Source organism: Homo sapiens, chromosome 14, assembly GCF_000001405.40.
Source record: "Homo sapiens chromosome 14, GRCh38.p14 Primary Assembly".
NCBI lineage: Eukaryota > Metazoa > Chordata > Mammalia > Primates > Hominidae > Homo > Homo sapiens.
In genome coordinates, this window is record NC_000014.9 from 82,758,137 (window position 1) to 82,779,721 (window position 21,585).

Here is a 21,585-nt window from a genome sequence, read left to right on the forward strand (position 1 = left end):
TGCCTTCTGACCCTGAACAATATACTTTTCTAATTGCAATCAAAATGAAGCTCTGTTTATGTGTGGGAATAACTTGGGCATCAAGACTGCCAGGGATTGAAAGATTCCATACTTTCCTCTTCAGTTTAGAAGCCTATATAGAATCATAACTTTTCTTTCTAAAATGCATGTGTTATTTTCTGATAGAATCCTGGGAGCTGAGGGGGCTGGGGATTGGAAAACACAGTTGTATAGCTAATGATCTTTACTGTAATCCTTGCCTCATTCCCCTTTCCAGCATAAAATAACATATTGTTTAATGAACATAAGAGGATGAGATTTTAACATGGAATTGAATTATACTGATAACATCAACTAGAAAATTTTATATCCTACGTTTTAAAACAAATGGAAAATATACTAGTCGTCATTGAAGATTGCAGACAAGTAATAAAGGTAGATAATTATTCCCCTGAGAGAACATTTCTAGCTATCAGAAGCAGCCTTTGGAAGATAGTTGGTTCAAGTCTTATTGTGAAATGAAATACAAACAAAATAGCAATAAATAGTTTATTTTGGAATTTTTTTACTGCTAGCAATAGGATCTTATGTTTTTATTTTTTGTCAAATTAAAATTTGAACAATTTCCTTTTGGAGTACATACTCTCTAAATATAATGTTACAGGGATTGTAATTTAAAAAGAAAATTGATGATTATTTTAGAACACCGATGGAAAGCCTTTACCTACTAGACTAATTCCTTTGTAGTTCGAGAGTGCTAAATTCAGGAACAATGAGTGCTTTGTGTATGTTATTTCATTAACAAGGAGCACATTTATAAAATCATCAAGGATCTGTAATGGTTAAAAACATCTGTCAATTTTTAGTTGTCCTAATGTAAGAACTCCAAAATTGTATTCAGTTCTGAGATAAACTGAAGGATGAGATATTTTGGCTCTGTAGTAACATTTAAGAAACATAGTCTGGGAAAAGTTAGTAACCATTCTTGCTTATCACATACATTTCCAGTAGTAGAGTGATAAAGAATGTCAACTTGAAAATTTGTGATATTATATTTCTTGGCCTTACCTTTTACAGAGTACTTTTTTCCTATTCTTTCTACTCCTTTTTTCCCCTTCACCTGTGTCAAATAGGCTGAAATCTTTGGCTAGAACTAAATCTAAAGACAGAAAAATAGCTTAACAAAAACAGATATCTGTATGCATGCTTTGATTAATCACATGGAAGGTTGTAAAAGTTATGTAAGTATAAAGAATTTAAATATGAATGGATTCATATAAATCCATTCAAGTGAAGTGTAATACAGTTAGAAAAGTTTAATGGAAGTGTGAGTAAACAGAGTGTGAGCAGTAGCAAAGCGTTCGGGGAGTTTCTATAAAAGTGTAAAAGTATTTCACACTTCTGCTGCGCAGATTCCCCTGAGCGGGACACATTTCCTACTGAAAGGTTTGCAGGGAAGCATGATCTTTATAACAACCTGCCTCTGACATGAGCAGAAAGAGAACAGTCTCCAGTGACCAGAGTATTCACCCTTTGTCCTTAAAACATGCTGCTGTTTCCCAGCGTAATTTTCCATTTATAATGATAGGTACTATTTAGTTTGGTTTTATTTTACATGTAGTCTTTGAGGCCTTTATACCACAAGGATTAGAGAAGTTAACAAGAATATAGTGAGGGATTTAAGTCAGTGATACTTGTTTAGCAGGATCATGAAACTTAATGAGCCTCTTCAGAACTCTGTGGAAAGAAGTGCCGGTGGCGGTTGGCTAAGACATAAATCTGGGCTACACCAATGTTGTCCCTGAAGTCATCTACTATAGACAGCATTTTCTTCTCCTAAATTTTCTGAGAGGAAAATGACAATAAGCACTGTCATGTACTGATGTTAGAAAAGGTCTCATTTTGCTCAATGTTATTCTCTCTGCGATTGTTTCTCATTTCTACCGATTATTGTAGTGGAACAATAGCAACAAAAAAAGCCCCTGACTCGTGGGAGAGAAAAGAAAGAGGCGTTTTTCATGCGCGTCCATGTGAAGAGACCACCAAACAGGCTTTGTGTGAGCAATAAAGCTTTTAATCACCTGGGTGCAGGCGGGATGAGTCCAAAAAGAGAGTCAGCAAAGGGAGATAGGGGTGGGGCCGTTTTATAGGATTTGGGTAGGTAAAGGAAAATTATAGTCAAAGGGGGTTTGTTCTCTGGCGGGCAGGAGTGGGGGTCGCAAGGTGCTCAGTGGGGGAGTTTTTGAGCCAGGATGAGCCAGGAAAAGGACTTTCACAAGGTAACGTCATCACTTAAGGCAAGGACCGGCCATTTACACTTCTTTTGTGGTGGAATGTCATCAGTTAAGGTGGGGCAGGGCATTTTCACTTCTTTTGTGACTCTTCAGTTACTTCAGGCCATCTGGGCATATATGTGCAAGTCACAGGGGATGCGCTGGCTTGGCTTGGGCTCAGAGGCCTGACAGCGTTAGTGATAAAATATGAATGTGTAGTCCTTCATTAAAGGTAGGATAATACCTTTTGATCATTGGTCGGTGTGATTTTCTTGAATCCATGGTTGTGTTCATGAACCCAGAAATGGTGCTACAGGAAGAAGAATGTCAGACTAGAGAATGCAAAGGTAAAATATTCAACATTAAGAGACTATTTTAGAAAAATTATTAAGAATAGTTGAAGACTAGTTGGAGATTTGTGCCCAAGTTAGTAAACAAGTTAGGCAAGGAACACAGATGCACTGGAACATGCTCTATTTCAAAAAAAAAAAAAAAATTACATCTTTTGCCATTGCCTCATCATCTTCATATAATCCAAGAACTTTACTGGGGTCCAGGCTTTCTTAGCTACTGCTGTTGATGTATTCAGGAAAAACCATGTTAAATGCTGCAAAGAATCTTAGCCAGAAGACTGAGTATTTTTCTGGTCATTCTTGCTGGGAAACCTTTAGTGACAGGAAGTTGTTTATATTCATTCAGTAGCAGGACACTCCTCAATAACTGTGTTCCAATTCATTTCAGGTATAGAAACTCGAGATTTATTTATTTATTTATTTATTTATTTATTTCTGAGATGCAGTCTTGCTCTATCACCAGGCTGGAGTGCAGTGGCGTGATCTCAGCTCACTGCAACCTCCGACATGCTTGTTCAAATGATTCTCTTGCCTCAGCCTCCGGAGCAGCTGGGATTACAGGCATGCACCATCATGCCCAGCTAATTTTTGTAGTTTTAGTAAAGACAGGGTTTCACCATGTTGGCCAGGATGGTCTCGATCTCTTGACCTCGCTATCTGCCCGCCTCAGCCTCCCAAAGTGCTGGGATTACAGGCGTGAGCCACCGCGCCCGACGTAAAGATTTAATTTTATGAGGGCTAACAGTGCTCTAATTAGGAACTTATTTCGAGCTGCAAATGCTTTTCTAAAGTTTCTAAGTTTTAAATATCCATTAGTGAGTAAGTAATACTTTGTTTATTGGGTTCTTTCTCTGTATACAATGAATTAAGTCAAAGATACTTTTTCTTTGAAGTAGAAAACACAAGACAAACAAATGAAAATAAACACAAACCCATTATGGGCTCAGTGTAAATTAAAAATAAAGAAACATGGAACAATAGAAGAGAACTGATATTTAAAATTACAATTCAAGAAAAGCTTTCAGAAATCAAAAAAGACATAAATTTACATATTGTAAAATTTCACTGGATATGTGGGAAAATTTATTCTAAAAAATCAGTTCTGAGAAATATTATAGTGGGTCTACTGATTAGAAAGATAAAATATAAATTCTCAAGGCCTGTGCTGGGGGGTTGAGGGCAGAGGAGAAGGGACAAGAAGAAAACTGAAAAGAATTAGACTGATGTCAGACTTTCCAAAAAAAAAAAGAAAAAAATATACAAAGCAAGCCAGAAAGGTAGCAGAGTTTTATTTTTTAAATTTTAATAAAACAAATGTAAGTGCAGTGAGGCTACCAAGATTCATCATGAATCAATACAAACATTGGCTGTTATTTTCAACAGATCTCCAAAGAAAGAGCAGCAAATGTGGAGCAAACTCAAAACGACCCTGAGCTCCAGTCATCCATGTAAATGGCTACACAAGCAACATGTTAGCACCTCTTCTCCCCACTACCCCATGTTGAGCTGAGTCCGCTCAGAGACGTAAGGGGGTAAGGAGAGGATAAAGAGGAATGTTTTCCTCCAGAGCCTTCTTCATGTCTGGAGAACTGTTAGATGTTCTTTTGGAGAATGGTGAGTGCGGATTAATGCAGTTTGCATAGGTTGTAGGGGCCTTTGATCCAAGCTATCTCTATCAGAATCTCACCACAATGCAAAATTAGCTGAGCAAATTCATCATCACTGGGCGAGTTCCTAGACTCATTTGTGGCCTCCTGAGCTACAAGTGGAAAGAAGGTTCTTCTGCTGATAAAATAAGAAGTAATGACTATCCTGGGGCAAAATTCAACACAACATAAAATAAAAATCAATAATAAGACATTGTTACATTAATGGAATTGAACTATGATTATTCTAGCAACTCAACTTTCTTACCAAGTAGACGTTTGTCATGGGCTCATACTCTTTATATTTGTTTGTTCTGTTTTATTATTATTATTGTTATTTTGTTTTACTGTTTAGATGGCCACAGCAAAAGTCAAGGCCTGAGTGGTGAAACATCATCTTTTAAAAAGTTATTCTGCAAGATATTAAATTTCCATCATGTACAATGTTTACAAGGGCTGACTTTTTAAAAAATTGAACTCATCTTTCTTTATTAAACGATTTTTAATAAAAAATCATTGCTTTTAATAAAAACATTTTAATAAAAATCATGTTGCTTCATTTTATTTTTGCAATTCCTGGATGAAGTAATAACAGCTAACACTTTCGCAGACTTACCACATGGCAGAAACTCTTTTTTTTTTTTTCTTTTGAGACAGAGCCTTGCTCTGTCACTCAGGCTGGATTCCAATGGCGTGATCTCAGCTCACTGCAACCTCTGCCACATGGGTTCAAGTGATTCTCCTGACTCAGCCTCCCGAGTAGCTGGAATTTCAGGTGTATGCCACCATGCCTGGCTAATTTTTGTATTTTTAGTATAGACGGGGTTTCAGCATCTTGGCCAGGCTGGTCTTGAACTCCTGACCTCATGATCTGTCTTGGCCTACCCAAAGTGCTGGGATTACAGGCATGAGCCACTGCCCCCGGCCTAACTCTTCCAAGGACTTTGTAAGCATTAAAACTTTTAGCTCTTCCAACAACATTGTGAGGGAGATGCTTCTATATCTCTCCTGTCACAAATGAGAAAACGGAGGCAAAGAACAGTTAAGCTGTTTGGTTAGGATCAAACAGCTGAGAAGTAACACAGCCGAGAAGTAACACAGCCAGATTCCATGACTTATTCCCTGCTCCAAAGTGACTCTGCAGAAAGCAGTACAGGCCTTTCTCTAAAGAAGTTAGTGTTGCTCACACAATGTAGAAATAAAACCGTAAGACCAAATTAGACACCTGACAATTGAGACTTCCAGTTGCTAGGTGTCCAGATATTTTTCTGAGTACAGAGAGCCTGTGATTTGAGGGCAGTGGCTGTGCCCCATGCAATTTTGCATAATTAGCAGCACTTTTCACAAGATTCAGAATAAACATTAACAGATGCTTATTAAATCAGTTTTTCTTTTTAGCCCTCCTTGACTCTATTTTTTAGTGAGTCTGTCCTGTTTACTCGTGTCCATTTGACCCTGCACCTGCCTGCCTGGGTGGTTGCAGCCCTGGACTTTCCAATTTACCAATTCTCTGCCACCCATCCTGGAATGACTTTTGCAGAGAGTGCCCTAGCCTCTAAAATCATTCCTCTCTTTAATTCCAGGATTAGTTGGGAAGAGATAAGATTTAAAAGGCAGATAATTTAATATTTTACTTTCTGGAAAGTTTTGTTGCTGTTTGTCCTAAAGAAGATTTTCATGAGTCTCTAGTGTTCGGAGTAAAGCACAAAAGCAGGGTGACAAAGGGATAAAGATTTAAGCAAGAAACCATCTCCCTAATTTCTGGCATCAAGCAGTGTTGTCAGCTCTTTACTCTGCCTGCATGGGTAAGTGTGGTCCCATGCAAAGAGCAAGTTGTAAAAAGGGGTCCTGTGACCTTAATTCCTTTTTGATGGCAAACAATCACTCAATCTGGATTAGACTCTGACTTACTACTCTGTCCCTTCCTCTAGGCTTGGCTCTTACAAGAATTTCAAGATCTGATTGCGCAGTGCTGGTTGCATTTTCCTGACTATACAATGCTCCTGGACTTTGTGGATGCTGTTCCTCTGTTTGGAATAACCTTACTCTTTCCTTCTCCCTACTCCACGCTTCATCGTCCTTTATGAAAAGTGCTGGGCATGAGCAAACTCCATCTCACTATGAACTCATCAGGCAGCATCAAATGTCTCTCTTCTGTGCTCACATCAAGTATTTATTCCCTAAATGTCTCCCTAGCAACTAGAGTGAGTCCCCACTTCATAAACTGACAAAAAATTGCCTCTGTATATAGTTTTTAAACTTATGTAGAATGAAAGTTTTAATTTGATTTTTTTTCACACATACTTTTCCTTTGCCTTATATTTGCAATTTTCTAAATTCAAAGTATTATCTCTTTCAAGCTGTATGGACACTAAATTCTTCTTTATTAAAGTCTGTGTAAAAAAATAGAGTGGGATTTAAGGAGGATTCTTTTCTTTTACTGCATTTTATGAGGGAGGGAGATGGATAAAATCTCAAATTGCTTAGAAAATTAACTCAAATATATAATTCACTTTGCCTATTATGAGCTGCTACTAAGGATATTTCTAGTTTTGAAGATGGGATAAGAAATAAAATCACAAAATATATTTTAAATATCGTGTATTTCAATTTAATTCTCTTAAATACTTATTCAGTATTTACTATAGCCCAGGTACTATTCTAGACATGAGAAATACAGAGCTAAATAAGAAGTTCACGGTGGAGATTAGGAAAAAAGGTAACAGTGAATCTGATTTAATATTTTGTAAATATAAATTTCCAAAAAGCAAATTAACCAGTAATGGATGCTAACCTATAATGTATTTTAAAGTCTTTAAAAACTCATTGTTTCTTATCATGTTTACAAATGACTATGATCCTCTATGACTTCTAGTGTTTGTGCCTTTCAAAACAAGAGCCTGTACAGCCTGGTTAATTGCAGATACTTGAAGTGGATCAAACTAGAAGATTCTGGGAATGGATAATAGAATAAAAGGAGAATATGGGACAGTGAGAGAAAAGGTTGCATAAAGAATCTGTGCCCTGATGAGGGTCTTTAAGTAATCCCATTAATGCTGGTACAGCAAATCAGGCTAGGATTTGGCTCCTGCATGTGTCCTTTCAGATGGATTATTCGTTATCTTCAGAGCATCAGAGAGAAAGAAAAGGAGGCCAGGTTAGGGGAAAAGTGACAAGTGTACAAAGAAAAGGAACGAAGGAAGGAAGGAAAGAAGGAAGGAGAGAGGGAGGGAGGGAGGGAGAGAAAGGAAGAGAGTGGAGAGGAAGCAAGAAAAGTATCCCTTGGCCAGGCGTGGTGGCTCATGCCTGTAATCCCAGCACTTTGGGAGGCCAAGGAGGGCAGATCACCTAAGGTCAGGAGTTCAAGACCAGCCTGACCAACATGGCGAAATCCCATCTCTACTGAAAATACAAAAATTAGCTGGGTGTGGTGGCGAGTGCCTGTAACCCCAGCTATTAGGGAGTCTGAGTCAGGAGAATCACTTGAACCCGGTAAGTGGAGGTTGCAGTGAGCAGAGATTGCTCCATTGCACTCCAGCCTGGGTGACAAGAGCAAAACTCCATCTCAAAAAAAAAAAAAAAGTGTCTCTTATGAAGTGTACCCTTGTCATGTATTCCTTCATCTTGAAGTCAGTACTTTCCATTGAGCCAGTATCTCTAATCCTTCATTCTCTCACATTAGCACTACCAAACTCTTTTCAGAAATGTCTTCTCTTTTTTTGTCAGTCTTAAAGTTCAGTTTTGTTTCCTATACTTTGGTGCAAAGAAATAAATCTAACTGGAGCCTATTTGTTCAGGTGGTTTGGAACAAGTCCAGTGCGATGCCCTCTTCCGTGGAGACATGGCTGAACATTAGAACATTCTCTCCTCTGTTTCACGTGTTTTTTGCAGTTGTCCAAGAAGCAACTGTAGCCACTCTTAGAGAGTGCAAGGGGCACTTCTCCCCAGTGGTCTGAATGTTGTCATTCCATGTCCTATGTGTGTGGTTAGTCCTTGCCACGGACAATGCTATCTATTTATATAGAAAATCATTTTCAATCCTAGTATTTATCTGAGAATGACCTAGAAGGTCTAGAGAGTATGCTAACTTCGTCAGAGCAAACATATTTTCCTAGGAAGCAATGCTTACAGGGGTAATTGTACTTAGATTTTCAGATGCTTTATTTTATTAGCAGAATTTATTAGTAAAAAATATGAGAAGGGGAGTTTGGTAGTCTTAATATTCAGAGAGATGTGTTGGCATGACTGAGAATCTGGCAACTTTTCAAGAAGATAAACTGCTTTATTGGAACAAAAACTGTGTTTTTATTCCAATAGAACTGAGTAAAAGCTCAACATCCATTCATAGGTATAAAAAAATCAAGTTAATAGATCTTGGTCTCTAGCTAAGACATGGTCCATTCTGCTCAGATTTTATTTATTAGAGTTTAAATTCTTGCTGAAGAGAGGATTAATCCCAGAGCCTGAGGCAACTTTTGACCTGTAACAAGTGGCCACAGCTGTGGGGACTGGAGGACCACCGTGGCTAGGATCAATCATATTTCCTTATGTAAAATAAAGACAATCCATGTGTGCTATGGCCATCATAATCTCTTAGATTAGCCATCCTAATATCCATTCTGGAATTAGGCCTGCAGAATCAAAGAGTTATTTTTAGTCTGTTCGAATAGCAAGGCATATACTATTCTGGGTAAGAAATGAGGATGATTTCATCAAGTGAAGGGAAACCAAACAACTTTAATCAATAAAGCAGGCATATTTCATATGAACTGTAGTAACACAATGTTTCGAATGTGGTGTACACGTTATTTGGATGAAATTCTGAACTTGGCATCCCTCTACAGCATGAAATTTTGGCAAATTCTTTTCTTGTTTTCCATTACTGTTAGGAATAAAAAGTATGCAAGAGGAGAATATAAAAGAGAGATAAATTCACTTGTAATGTGTTATGAGTTCCAATGAAATAAGTATTATTTCTTGTTGTTTTTCAGTTGTTCCTCTGCCCTGGACAGTTTTTGCCCTCTCCAGACTTTGTGGGATCCTTTAATCTATTGGAATAAAAACACAATTTTCTCAGCATTTCATGATTATAAACTCACAATATAAACATTATAGTGACCTATATAATGTTGTTAACCCTGTCTTTAAGATAAAGTAAAATCACTTGCCTGAAAATTTTGCAATCTCTAAATTATGATACTCTTTCATAGTAGAAATCATTTTTTTTAAACAGGAAATTTTTGTTAAATAAATTATGACATTAACATGAATGCTTAAGTGGGTTCAAGTGAAACCAACCTTATGATTAAATGCTATTAAAAATGTTTTCATATCTATTTCAGATTAGTTGTTTGTTGTTTCTGAGACAGAAGTCCTAACCAAATGTTAGTATGAAAAAAAGCAACTAGTCCAACTATAGATATTATAATCAGAAGCAGATTTCTCTTAAATAAGAGATAAAATATAAATGAAATATAATTATCGTGTAAAATGCAAGTATAACATAAAAAGTTTTCATTGAATTAATTCATCATTTTCAGTAAAGTTATTTTAGTACCTACTATAAGCCAAATCATAATATTTCTCTGCATATATTCTTCTCAAAACTTCTCACTGCCATTAGTGCAAAGTCCAATTTTCTTTCCATGTCCTTCAAGTTCTAACTTGACCACATTCTTCTCTTGAACTAACGAACAAATGTATAGATGTTTCTATACATCTCCAGAGCCCAGAGTTTTCACTTACTGTTGCATCTCTTGGCAACACTCCTTCCCTCCCCAACCCAGCCTCCAACTTCTGCTTTTTAAATGATTGGTTGTTTTTCATCCTTTACAACGGAATCCAAATGTCACTCCCTCAAAGTGGCAGTCTTTGACTCATCTAGTTTCTTTTTCTATTTCAAATGTATTTGATAGTTTATTGGTTTAAATAGACATCTAAATATATGAACATATTATGATTGGTTGCTATACCTTACATATCTCTTAAGCTATAGGTCTTCTTCCATCTGTCTCATTTTATTTTCTTGCAACATATTACTATTTATTGAAGAACGTGGATCAATTGCTCTGTAGTGTTTTCTGTGTCTACATTTTAATGATTGTGTCTCTGTCATTTTAATATTTGTGATCTTAATTGCTTTTTTTCTGTTAAGTACTTACATTTTTTTCTTTCTCCACATTCTGGATTTTGTACATAGTGTATCCTGTATATTGAGACATGCCCATCACTCAGTAGTTTTTTAATATGTACGTTTTGCATGTCCTAGATGCTTCATATATAATTGTGAAGAGTTATAGTTTGGTCTTTAACAGGGTATAGAATCTCTAATGAACAGGACACAGTTTTCGAAAACAAAAACTTCAAAGTCAAATGAAGGTGTATTTTTAAATCTACGTCACCATCCAATTTTGCCATATGAACACATGGTTTCATATGTATAGTCATAGCCCTGGCAATGTACTTGAGAACATGAATTTCTCTCTATATAAAAGTAAAAGAAAAATATACAGCCCATATATATTACAGAAAAAGAAAATATTTAAGTTTGGAAATTTTTGAATAAAATCATGATAGATTTACAATGTCTCATTATTCCTAGCATACAAAAGTGCTTTTATTCTTGGTTGCCAATTTTGTGAGAATCAAGCAATCCTCACGTTTTAGAGGTTGCAAAGTTTTCGAACAAGTGTTTTTACTTTATCTTAAAGACAGGGTTACCAACATTATATGGGTCACTACAGTGTTTATCTTGTGAGTTTATAATCATGAAATGCTGAGGAGTACCTATTCTTATATTGTTGAACTCATAAACATTACTTTTAAAAACATAGGTCTTAATAGTATTATTTTTGAAAGGAGAATAAAAGGGTTGGGAAATAGTAATAAAAATATTGCTACCTTATACATTGAAAGTTTATGATTCAAGCTGTGTTTATAGTTTAGCAAATAACCAGATAATGAATAAAACTTTATTTAAATGCTTAGATGATTTGATGTAACAATATCAAATAGATATCAGATATCAAACATGTTTTTAAACTTCTCTGATTTTTTCATCCTTAGAAATGAAACTTCAGCAGCTTTCAAAACAATAAAATAAAATCAAAATATTTAAGCTGTTATTTTAATTCTGTTTGGTCATTCTCTACAAAGATATTTTAAATTATGTCTTTGCTCATTTTTTTCTTTCTGATTTCCTCTTTTATTCCATCTCTACCTTTCAAAACTTACTTGAAAACCCTATCATTTCTATGTGGGAAGCATTTTCTCAATTCCTCCAAGGGATTATGATCATTTGCTCGGTTCCTATAGCACCAGGTGTGTTTCCAGTGTTCCTACTCTGTCCAGCTCTGTTTTATGTATTTGTCACAAGTAATAAATTTTAATATACCTGGGAGCAGGTAGTGTTTTTCATCCATCTTTGCATCCCAGTAGTACCCAGCATAGATTCCAGGATGCCATTTTCAGTAAATCTTCATGAATCAAATGTCCTATGACTTTAATTCCAGAAGCAGTATAAAAAAGGTCAGATCTTGAGAACTAGCTGGAGAGGTCAATTATGGTTGACAAATGCAGGGCTAGTAAATATAGTTCCCTTTATGAATAAAGCATTTATCTTTTGGGTTCTGATAGCAATAGGAAAAAAAACTAGAAATTTAAAGCAATAAATTAGTAACAAAAGAACTGAACATTCCAGTTGATGTAATTTGATATTATAACCTATTAAATATAAAATAACTTAAATTTCCACAAAATGCCTCAATACCTTGGTGACTTATGAAGGAAATTTCAACTCAGATGAAGCAATTCTTTTTCAAAACAAAACTTCTGCCATTTATTTATCATTTTACTTGTTAAATTACATGCAGTATAACCAAACTTTTTTTTTTAATTTTTAGACATTAAATACACAGGTAAATAAAAATTGAGCCCCTCCCTTGGTCTTTAGACAGAGCATGAAGCTAAATCAAATGTTTCACCCAGAAAAATGGTTGAAGAAAAGCATGTCTAAAATTTAAAAGTGTTCAAGATTTATCTCAAACTTTAGATGTTGGGGACGCACATCGTTCTCAATAGGATCCTTTTTTTTTTTTTTTTTTGAGATGGAGTCTCGCTCTGTTGCACAGGCTGGAGTGCAGTGGCGCGATCTCTCGGCTCACTGCAACCTCTGCCTCCCAGGTTCAAAAGATTCTCTTGGCTCGGTCTCCCAAGTAGATGGACTACAGGTGCCCACCACCACACCCAGCTAATTTTTGTATTTTTAGTAGAGATGGGGTTTCACCATATTAGCCAGGCTGATCTCAAACTCATGACCTTGTGATCTGCCCACCTTGGGCTTCCAAAGTACTGGGATTACCGCACCTGGCCTAGGATTTTTTTTAAGATTCAAGTTAGAGAGATATCGGAATCAAATAAAATGAGCAAGACAGTGATGTCTTGAAGGGATATAGTGATAGGGAGGGGTGTGTATCTAAATGGAGACCTGAATATTCCATAATGACAACACAGGGATGAGGACCTTGAAAATGGTTTCAGAAACTATGATTATAGTTTTATTAATAAACTAAAAGTGATCAAATTTTTCTTATAATTACTATTGTCCAGAAAACATTACTGAATATGTATTTTATAGAGAACAGAGGGTATATGGTTAATCAACATATCAATGAATTCAGTGAATGACAGAAAGTTAAAACCAGTCATCTGGTTAAACGAATTAGATACCTGTAAGAACTGGAGGTCATTATGTTCTTTTAGTGTGAAGAATAGTCTCAACCTCTCTTTCTTTTTAATAGTAATACTTTATTTATTTATGTTTACCTTTTATTTTAAGTTCTGAGGTACATGTGAAAGTTTGTTATATAAGTAAACTTGTGTCATGGGGTTTTGTTGTACAGATTATTTCATCATCCAGGTATTAAGCCTAGTATTAATTAGTTCTTTTCCCTGATCCTCTCCCTCCTCCTATCCCCCACCCTTCCCAAAGGCCCCAGTGTGTGTTGTTCTCTTCTACATGTCCATATGTTCTCATCACTTAGCTCCTACTTCTAAGGGAGAACATGTGGTATTTGGTTTTCTGTTCCTGTGTTAGTTTGCTAAGGATAATGGCCTCTAGCTCCATCCATGTCCCTGCAAAGGACATGATCTTGTTCTTTGTTTGTGGCATAGTATTCCATAGTGCATATGTACTTTTGCATCCATGTTCATCAAGGATATTTGCCTGAAATTTTCTTTTGTGTGTGTGTCTCTTCCAGATTTGGTATCAGGATGATACTGGCCTCATAGAATAAGTTAGGGTGGGGTCCCTCCTCCTCAATTTTTTGAAGTAGTTTCAGCAGGAATAGTCCCAGCTCTTCTTTGGACATCTGGTAGAATTCATCTGTGAATCTGGTCCTGGGCTTTTTGTTGTTGTTGGTAGGCTAGTTATTACTGACTAAATTTAAGTGCTCATTTTTGGTCTATTCAGGGATTAAATTTCTTCCTGTTTCAGTCTTAGGAGGGTGTATGTGTCAGGAATTTATCCATTTCTTCTAGATTTTTGAGTTTATATGCATAAAGGTGTTCACAGTAGTCTCTGATGAAATAAGGGACGGATGGAATAAATTTTTACTTCTATGGGTCAGTAGTAATATCCCCCTTGTTTCAGATTATGTTTATTTGAATCTTCTCTCTTTTCTTCTTTATTAGTCTAGCTAGTGGTCTATCTATTTTATTATTTTTTTTTTTCAAAAAGAGCTCCTGGATCCGTTCATCTTTTGAATGGTGTTTTGTGCCTCAGTCTCCTTCAGTTCAGGACTGATTTGGGTTATTTCTTTTCTTCTGCTAGCTTTGCTCTTAGGTCTCTAGTTCTATTAGTTGTGAAGTTAGGTTGTTAGCTTGAGATCTTTCTAACTATTTGATGTGGGCATTTAGTGCCATACATTTCCTTCTTAACACTGCCCTAGCTGTGTTAGATTCTGGTATGTTGTATCCTTGTTCATATCAGCTTCAAAGAACTTCTTCATTTCTGTAGAATAGGCCTAATCTTTATCATTCTTCAACATTGTATTGATTCTGGACCTTAGTGTATGAAACAGATTTATAAGAAATGAGACCAAATAAACTATTAAAATGTGTTATAAACACTAGAAAATTATTTCTTCATCCAGAGTGCTTACCGTTAGAGAAATATCATATTGTTATAATCATTGATTATGTTGATTATTTGCCACCTCTCACACTAGTATATATTAAATAGATTAGCTTAGAAAATGGTCCTTGTAAGCTTTGATGTTTTTCCCTTTTCTTGGCATTTTTCATCACTTTAAGTTAGACTTACATTATGTCTCTCCCAGACTTCCATAATCATTTCCTAATCATTCCCCTTTCTCCTAGTGCACTCCTCTTCAAACATTTCTCCATGTTGTAGCTGGAGTTTTCTTTCTTAACATTCAAATATAATTATATCACTCCTCTGCTTAAAATTTGACTCTCTCTCTGTCTGACTCCGAACACTCCGCTCAGAATAAAGAACAAACTTTGAGGTGCAGCAATTATCCCTGCTCAAGTAACTCTCCCTTGTAGCTGCACTAATCTATTTACTGTTTCATCGAAAATTGACTGAGGTGGGGCGCGGTGGCCCATGCCTGTAATCCCAGCACTTTGGGAGGTTGAGGCGGGTGGATCACTTGAGGTCAGGAGTTTGTTACCAGCCTGGCCAACATCATGAAACTCCGTCTCTACTAAAACTACAAAAATTAGCCGAGTGTGGCGGCGTGTGCCTGTAGTCCCAGCTACTCAGGAGGCTGAGGCAGGAGAATCATTTGAACCCAGGGGGTGGAGGTTGCAGTGAGCCAAGATTTCACCACTGTACTCCAGCCTGGGCGACAGAGTGAGATTCTGTCTCAAAAAAAAAAAAAAAAAAAAAAAAAAGAAATAAAAGAAAAGAAATATTGATTGAATATGTCCTCTTTCAAATACTATGCCTATGCTTTACATGCATAATAATACTTATTTCTTATAGTGGACACTGTTGATGTCCCAGCCAGATCCCTTTATTGGCCCAGTTACCACTGCCAGTTGCTGTGAGAGCTAATAGAGATATGTGAGCTGCTAATAGCTAATAGAGAGGTGTCCTCCATCAAATGGGAGCCACCTCATTTTTGAGGTTACACACTGCTCACTCCCACCCCTTATTTTACCCCCAGCCAATGACTGACTGACTAGGTTACCAAAGTCAGCCATCTTCCTCAGGCTGGGACCAACTCTGGATATTTCATGCCCTTAAGCTTCCCATGGGATTAGACCGAGGCTGAAGCTCATCTCAAGTTGGGACCGTATTCTTACTTAACTTATATTTTCCTGTTTTATCCTTGATTTCCATGACCCTTCTGAAAACTCTCTCTCTACGAACCCCTGTGACAGGAACTTGCTTGTCAGACTCTATCTCTAGGAAACTTAATCTAAGACAGATAGTCTTCAGGTGAACCTAAAGGTGGTGGTGGTATTATTATTGCTATTTTATAAATGATAAAACTAAAGTTCAAAAACAATGTAACTTCTTCCTCTGTTCTTTTATAAAAATTAATAAATTGTTTAAAAATACACAGGAAATTTTACTATAGTGGGTCACAAGCACAAATGACTTCAGAGTTGAGGCATATAACATGCACATGTACGAGCTTAGGAATAAGACAATTACCGGTGGAATCGTTGTTGAAACTGAATCTCAGATCACCGCAAAATCCACTCAGATTTTGTGATTTTTAAATATTTTTATACTTTATATTATCATATTATTCATGTAGTTATAATATTTGCTCTGTTTGAGACAGTACACTAAATGATTTAGTATGTGATCTGTTTGAGCCTCCCCTGTACCATGTAGACCAGTCATTCGGGGTAGACATCTCTTTCCTCCTGTGGCCTTGTGGGCAGAGCTTACCTTGTATTGTCATGGCTAACAATGGCAGATTTGTTCCCAGCCTTCCTGTGGCTAGGGATGACCATATGATCCCATTCTCTCCTTCAGAACCCTGGAAATGAGTCTTTTCCCCGATTAAAAAAAGAGGAACAAAGAAAGATGTCAAATAAGAAAGTGCAAGCCATCATTTCTGGCTTTTCTGTGAGAATGTGATATATAGACTGCTGCATCCAGTTTCAGACCACAAAGGGTGACAATGACAGCACAATGGGAATGGAGAGCAGAGAGGTGGAAAGAGCCACGGCACTGGATGATGAAGTTGGACACAGGTACTGAACCCACTCTGAGGCTTCATTCTTCAGGTTTCTTGTTACATGAAACAAAAAATAGAAAACACTCTTGTTTGAGCCACTTTTCAAACAGGAAAAGTGTTCTCTTACACGCAGCAAAAAGCATTGTAAATGATATAATAGTAGAAAAGTAAGCCTCAGAGAATCTTAGTATCTTGACTGATTTTTGTATAAGTAGTAAGTGGCAGTGTTACCGTTTAGACTCAGGTGACCTGACACTTCTCTAGAGAGGATTTTTCCTTCCATTGAACATATGAAGGCATCCACATTTTTGTACAGTTCTCACTAGGCTTCTTCTAAATACTAGGTTGACCAAAGGGTTCAGAATGCCTGAATTTCTCAGTAAAACAGTATGTATAGGGAAGGATTTTCCTAGAAGTACAGAGGATGAGCGAGCACCCAGCTCATTTTTATGCACTATAAATTTGAAAATAAATCTTTGTCATCTGAAGTAATGGGATCTCAAAAATAACACACTCTCCTACCTCCTGTTCACATTTTCCTTGAGGAAAAAAAAGAAATATCCTATTTGAGTAAAGAGCAATGTAATCTGGATGTTGCTACTCAAACTTTCAGGATATAGGTATTATTTTCCATACTCAAGAGATTTTCAGAAGGCACGTTTAAACAATATGGAAAGTTTATGTCTTTACTTCAGCTAATGCAGTATGTAGAAAAAAGTGAAGACAAGACTATTTCCCTAAAGAGGTCTCCAAATTGTCTATGGTAGGTAAACATGTACAGATTCAAATAGAGATTTGTATAAAATTACCAAAGAAGGCATATACATCAAATAATATTTTTTGGCAAGTGTTTTCTGTTTAAAAATTTGGGTTTGGAAGAGTGAATCATGTTTATGATCAGCTTTGCATTCCACTGGAGTTTTATGTGTCGATTGCAAAATGCTTACTGGTTCTTTCTGAAAGATGCCTCTGGATGAGGCTTGATAATGATGGTCTTATTACTACAGTAAAGTGCCCTTCTAATATATCACAGATAATTACTCCTGTAGCAGAAAAGCCAGAAAATCATAAATACCCAAGGGGATAAAATTTAAAATGAAGATATTTGCTACCAAGATTAAATTAAATTAAAGCAAATGAAGTATAAACATTTGATTATTTTTTGAAAAGTTCAGTGATTTCCTAATCATGAGGTAGGAATTATTTCCTCTGGGAACATACCAGAAGAATTTGAAATCTTTCAAACTAATTTGTCTGATAAAAAGTAGGACTCTGTCTTTTATAGTTCTTTGAAATTTAAAATGGATTACTATATGCATTTTCTCATTTCATTGTTATAGCTTTTCTGTAAGGAATATAGACTAAGGATTATTATTTCATTATTTTACAGATTAAGTAAATGAAACAGAAAAAGGATACTTGTCTGGGATCACAGTCAGTAATTGGAAGATTTTGGTCCAATCCCTAGAATGGTATTTTACTGTTTTTACAAATGTCACTGATAGAAGTTTTAAGAACTGAGTTTGAAAGGAGCAGAGTTTTCTGCAGTTTCCTGTTTGGGGTAGTTAAGCAAAAGAGGGGCGCTTTTTAATATTTAATAATTTTTTTTAGATGGAGTCTTGCTCTGTCGCCCAGGCTGGAGTGGAGTGGCAAGATCTTGACTCACTGCAACCTCCACCTCCCGGGTTCGAGAAATTTTCCATTTTCATCATTATAGAAAAATACAGAGGGCTAAGAATCAATTATCCTCTCCTAAAATTGATAAAGGGGAAAGACAACTAAGAAGAGATAAAATCCTATCATAAACCGGAAAGATTTTATATCTTGATCTTAGTGATAAGTATATAGGGTATCTGCATGTGAAAAATTATCAAGCTGTATGTTTAAGATCAGTATACTTTACTAAGATTTATCTTAATAAAAATGTAAAAATAAATGCATAAATATATCTATACATGTATATGTACAGGTATATTCAATGTATATTCACATACGCAATGATTACATGTAGAACTTTTCTGTATATAAAATTAATATTACAGTGGAAATTTTTCCATTGCTTACTTTGTTACAGAGGCATAAAGAAAACCTTCTGCTTTTTAAATTGCACATATGATAATTTGTTCAAGAAGAATATAAAATCTATTGTTGGTCATACATAAAATGCTCAAATGACACAACCATACTTTTTTTGAAATTGTTTTGCATCCTTCACTTCTAATGCCTAGAAGACCAATGGTCACAGAGAAGATATTCAATAAATGTACGCCCAATGATCAAATCAAAGAAACTTCAAAAACACAGGATGTGCCTTTGACAAATCTTATAAGCTCCATTTCTTTCTCCCTTAATATCGGAAATACATCTCAACCTGATGTGCTTCTTGGCTGTCCAAATCACCAGGTCTTTTTTGGACAATCCCCTTTCATGCTCCAAAGCTTTCCATAAAGCTATGTCAGTTTGTCCCAACAAAGCCTATGTGCATACAGTCACCATCTTGACTCATCTGTGAAGTGATCTCAGACACCTGTAAGGAGATGAGTAATGTTGTGAGTGTGTGTGAGCATGTGTGTGTGTGTGCTGGTTGGCATTGAGGTGTTGACAAACAAGGTCATAGGTATATTAGTGGATAGTTTCCATATCATAATGAATCTTTACATCATTGCAAGATAAGAATTAATCTCAAAGTAAGTAAATATTATGCCAACATATTACAATTTGAAATAAAGTTGAGAAGAAAAATCAGGTTTGTCTCACTCTGCAGATGTCCTGCTGTTATTTTGTCATCCTTCTAATTCATAATCTACTAGAATTATAGAACCTCAATGTGGCTTTGGAACTTTCTTATGATAAATGTGTATATATTCCTAGAGATTCCTGAGAATATGGGCAACATAAAACGTTTAGGTCTGCAATGTACCACATATACAAAGGTGGTCCCATAAGATTATAATATTGTATTTTACTTTACCTTTTCTATAGATATGTTTAGATACACCAGTGGTTACTACTGTGTTATAATCATCCACAGTATTCAGTAGAGTAATGTGCTGTACAGGTATATAGCCCAGGAGAAACAGGCTATACCTTATAGCCTATGTGTGTAATAGGCTGTACCATCTAGGTTTTTGTAAGTACAACCTGTAATGTTTACATAATGTCTACTTTGTCTAACAATGCAATTCTTAGAACATATTGCCATCCAGGTGAAGTGTTCAGTGTTCCACAGATAATGAAATAATCTGGACTAAAATGTAAATCTTGTAGTTACTATTAGAAAATAATTTCTTGTATAAGAAGGGTTAAGGCACTAAATGTCCATCCAATAATACACGGCCTCTTCAAGGAGCTAGTAACCATTTTTAAAAAAGACTATTGGAAAGAAAAAAATTACAAACGTGAAGTAAAAGATCCTTAATGGTGCCATAATCCTGTTCCTCCCTTATGTGTATCATAGCCACCCACACTCATTTTACTGTATTTCAATCATCTGTAATTTTTCATTTCCATGGTAGATACTGAGCTTTGAAAGTGAAGGAGTTGTTCTTTCTGTTACTTGTTTGCTTTTTAATTCTGAAGCAGGACTTGGCACCTACTAGGTGCTCAGTACTGTTTGCTCATTAAGTGAAGAATAAATGGTCCATTGGATGGAAAGTGGAATTTCAGTTACCATGATAAGTATTATTTTTTTATTCAGGGAAGTCTTTTGGGGCCTCTTGAAAATATCACTTATGTGACAGCCTACTTAACCTATATGTAAGGACAGTGGCCAAAGCAGAAATAAGTCTGTCATTCCCAAAGGAGCTATCAATCATTGTAAAAACTATGCATGATCTATTCAAGGGAGAAAGATACAGTGTCTTCATTCACTAGATTTCATTCCAAGAAAAGAAAGTTGGTTAAACAACTTAGAATGTTGGCCAAAACAGACATGTTAGTTTAAATTGGTCTGTGTAATCAATCATTTGGAAAAGATTATTAGATTCTACTATAATTCATTTTATATGTTAGTTTATAAAAATAATGTTTTTTCTTAATCTCACATGGAGAAAAAACAAAACTGTCTCTTCCTTCCACTTTGCTTATAAATGACCAGATCTAGCCTTCTCTTCTCAAGCATCCATGCTAAATGTGTCCTCCCTGGAGGCCTGGCCGAATAAGATCAGATACAAGGCCAAAATGAATTTTTTTCCCATTAGTGAGTATGTTTGCTACGTGGAGGACACTGTGTGGGCTTGAGGTCATGGATGCAGATGTAGGAAGTTGTCAAAGGGATAAAACAGATTTCATTAGCTAGAAGTGGCTGAAATTTCTCTCATTACAATCATAGCAAGGTCACAAGCGTGATTAAGAATGCATATTACATATTGGTTAGGTTTAATTATAAAAGGTAGTTTGTCAAGTCACTGGAAAATGTTAACAAATGCCATCACTACTTGTAATGACATTGCAAAACCTCGAAATATTTGCAGTTGTCATCCACCTGGATCTTGTGGTCACCATGAGAAATATTAACACACACTCATTGGAGAAGAAAAATTGATTACTAGTGTATGTAATTAAATAATTAGGCAGATTAACTATTTTTCTCTTTCATGGTTAAAAAAGGTTCTTACAAAAACAAATTTATTTGTATTTCACTGAACTTCACACTGCTGAGGAAGAAAAAGATCAAAGCCCCACATCCATACCCTACAATAGTGAAAAGAGATTATGTCATTGGATTCTGCTTTGTCTAAGACGAAGAGTTGCTCTGCTCAAGGTCGCTGTATACCCTTCTGATGGCCAAAACCTCCAGGTTGCCTCCCCCATCTCTAATGTTGAATGGGAATTCTAGTGTCATCAAGGTGCACTCAGAACAGTTTGGCACACTTAAGAAACCTTAAGTGCCAAACCTTAAGTTTGGCACTCAGCCTGGCACGGTAGCTCATGCCTGTAATCCTAGCACTTTCAGAGGCCGAGGTGGGTGGATTGCTTGAGCCCAGGAGTTTGAGACAAGCCTGGGCAACATGGTGAAACCCCATCTCCACTAAAAATACAAAAAACTAGCCTGATGTAGTGGCATGTGCCTGTAGTCCTAGGTACTTGGTAGGCT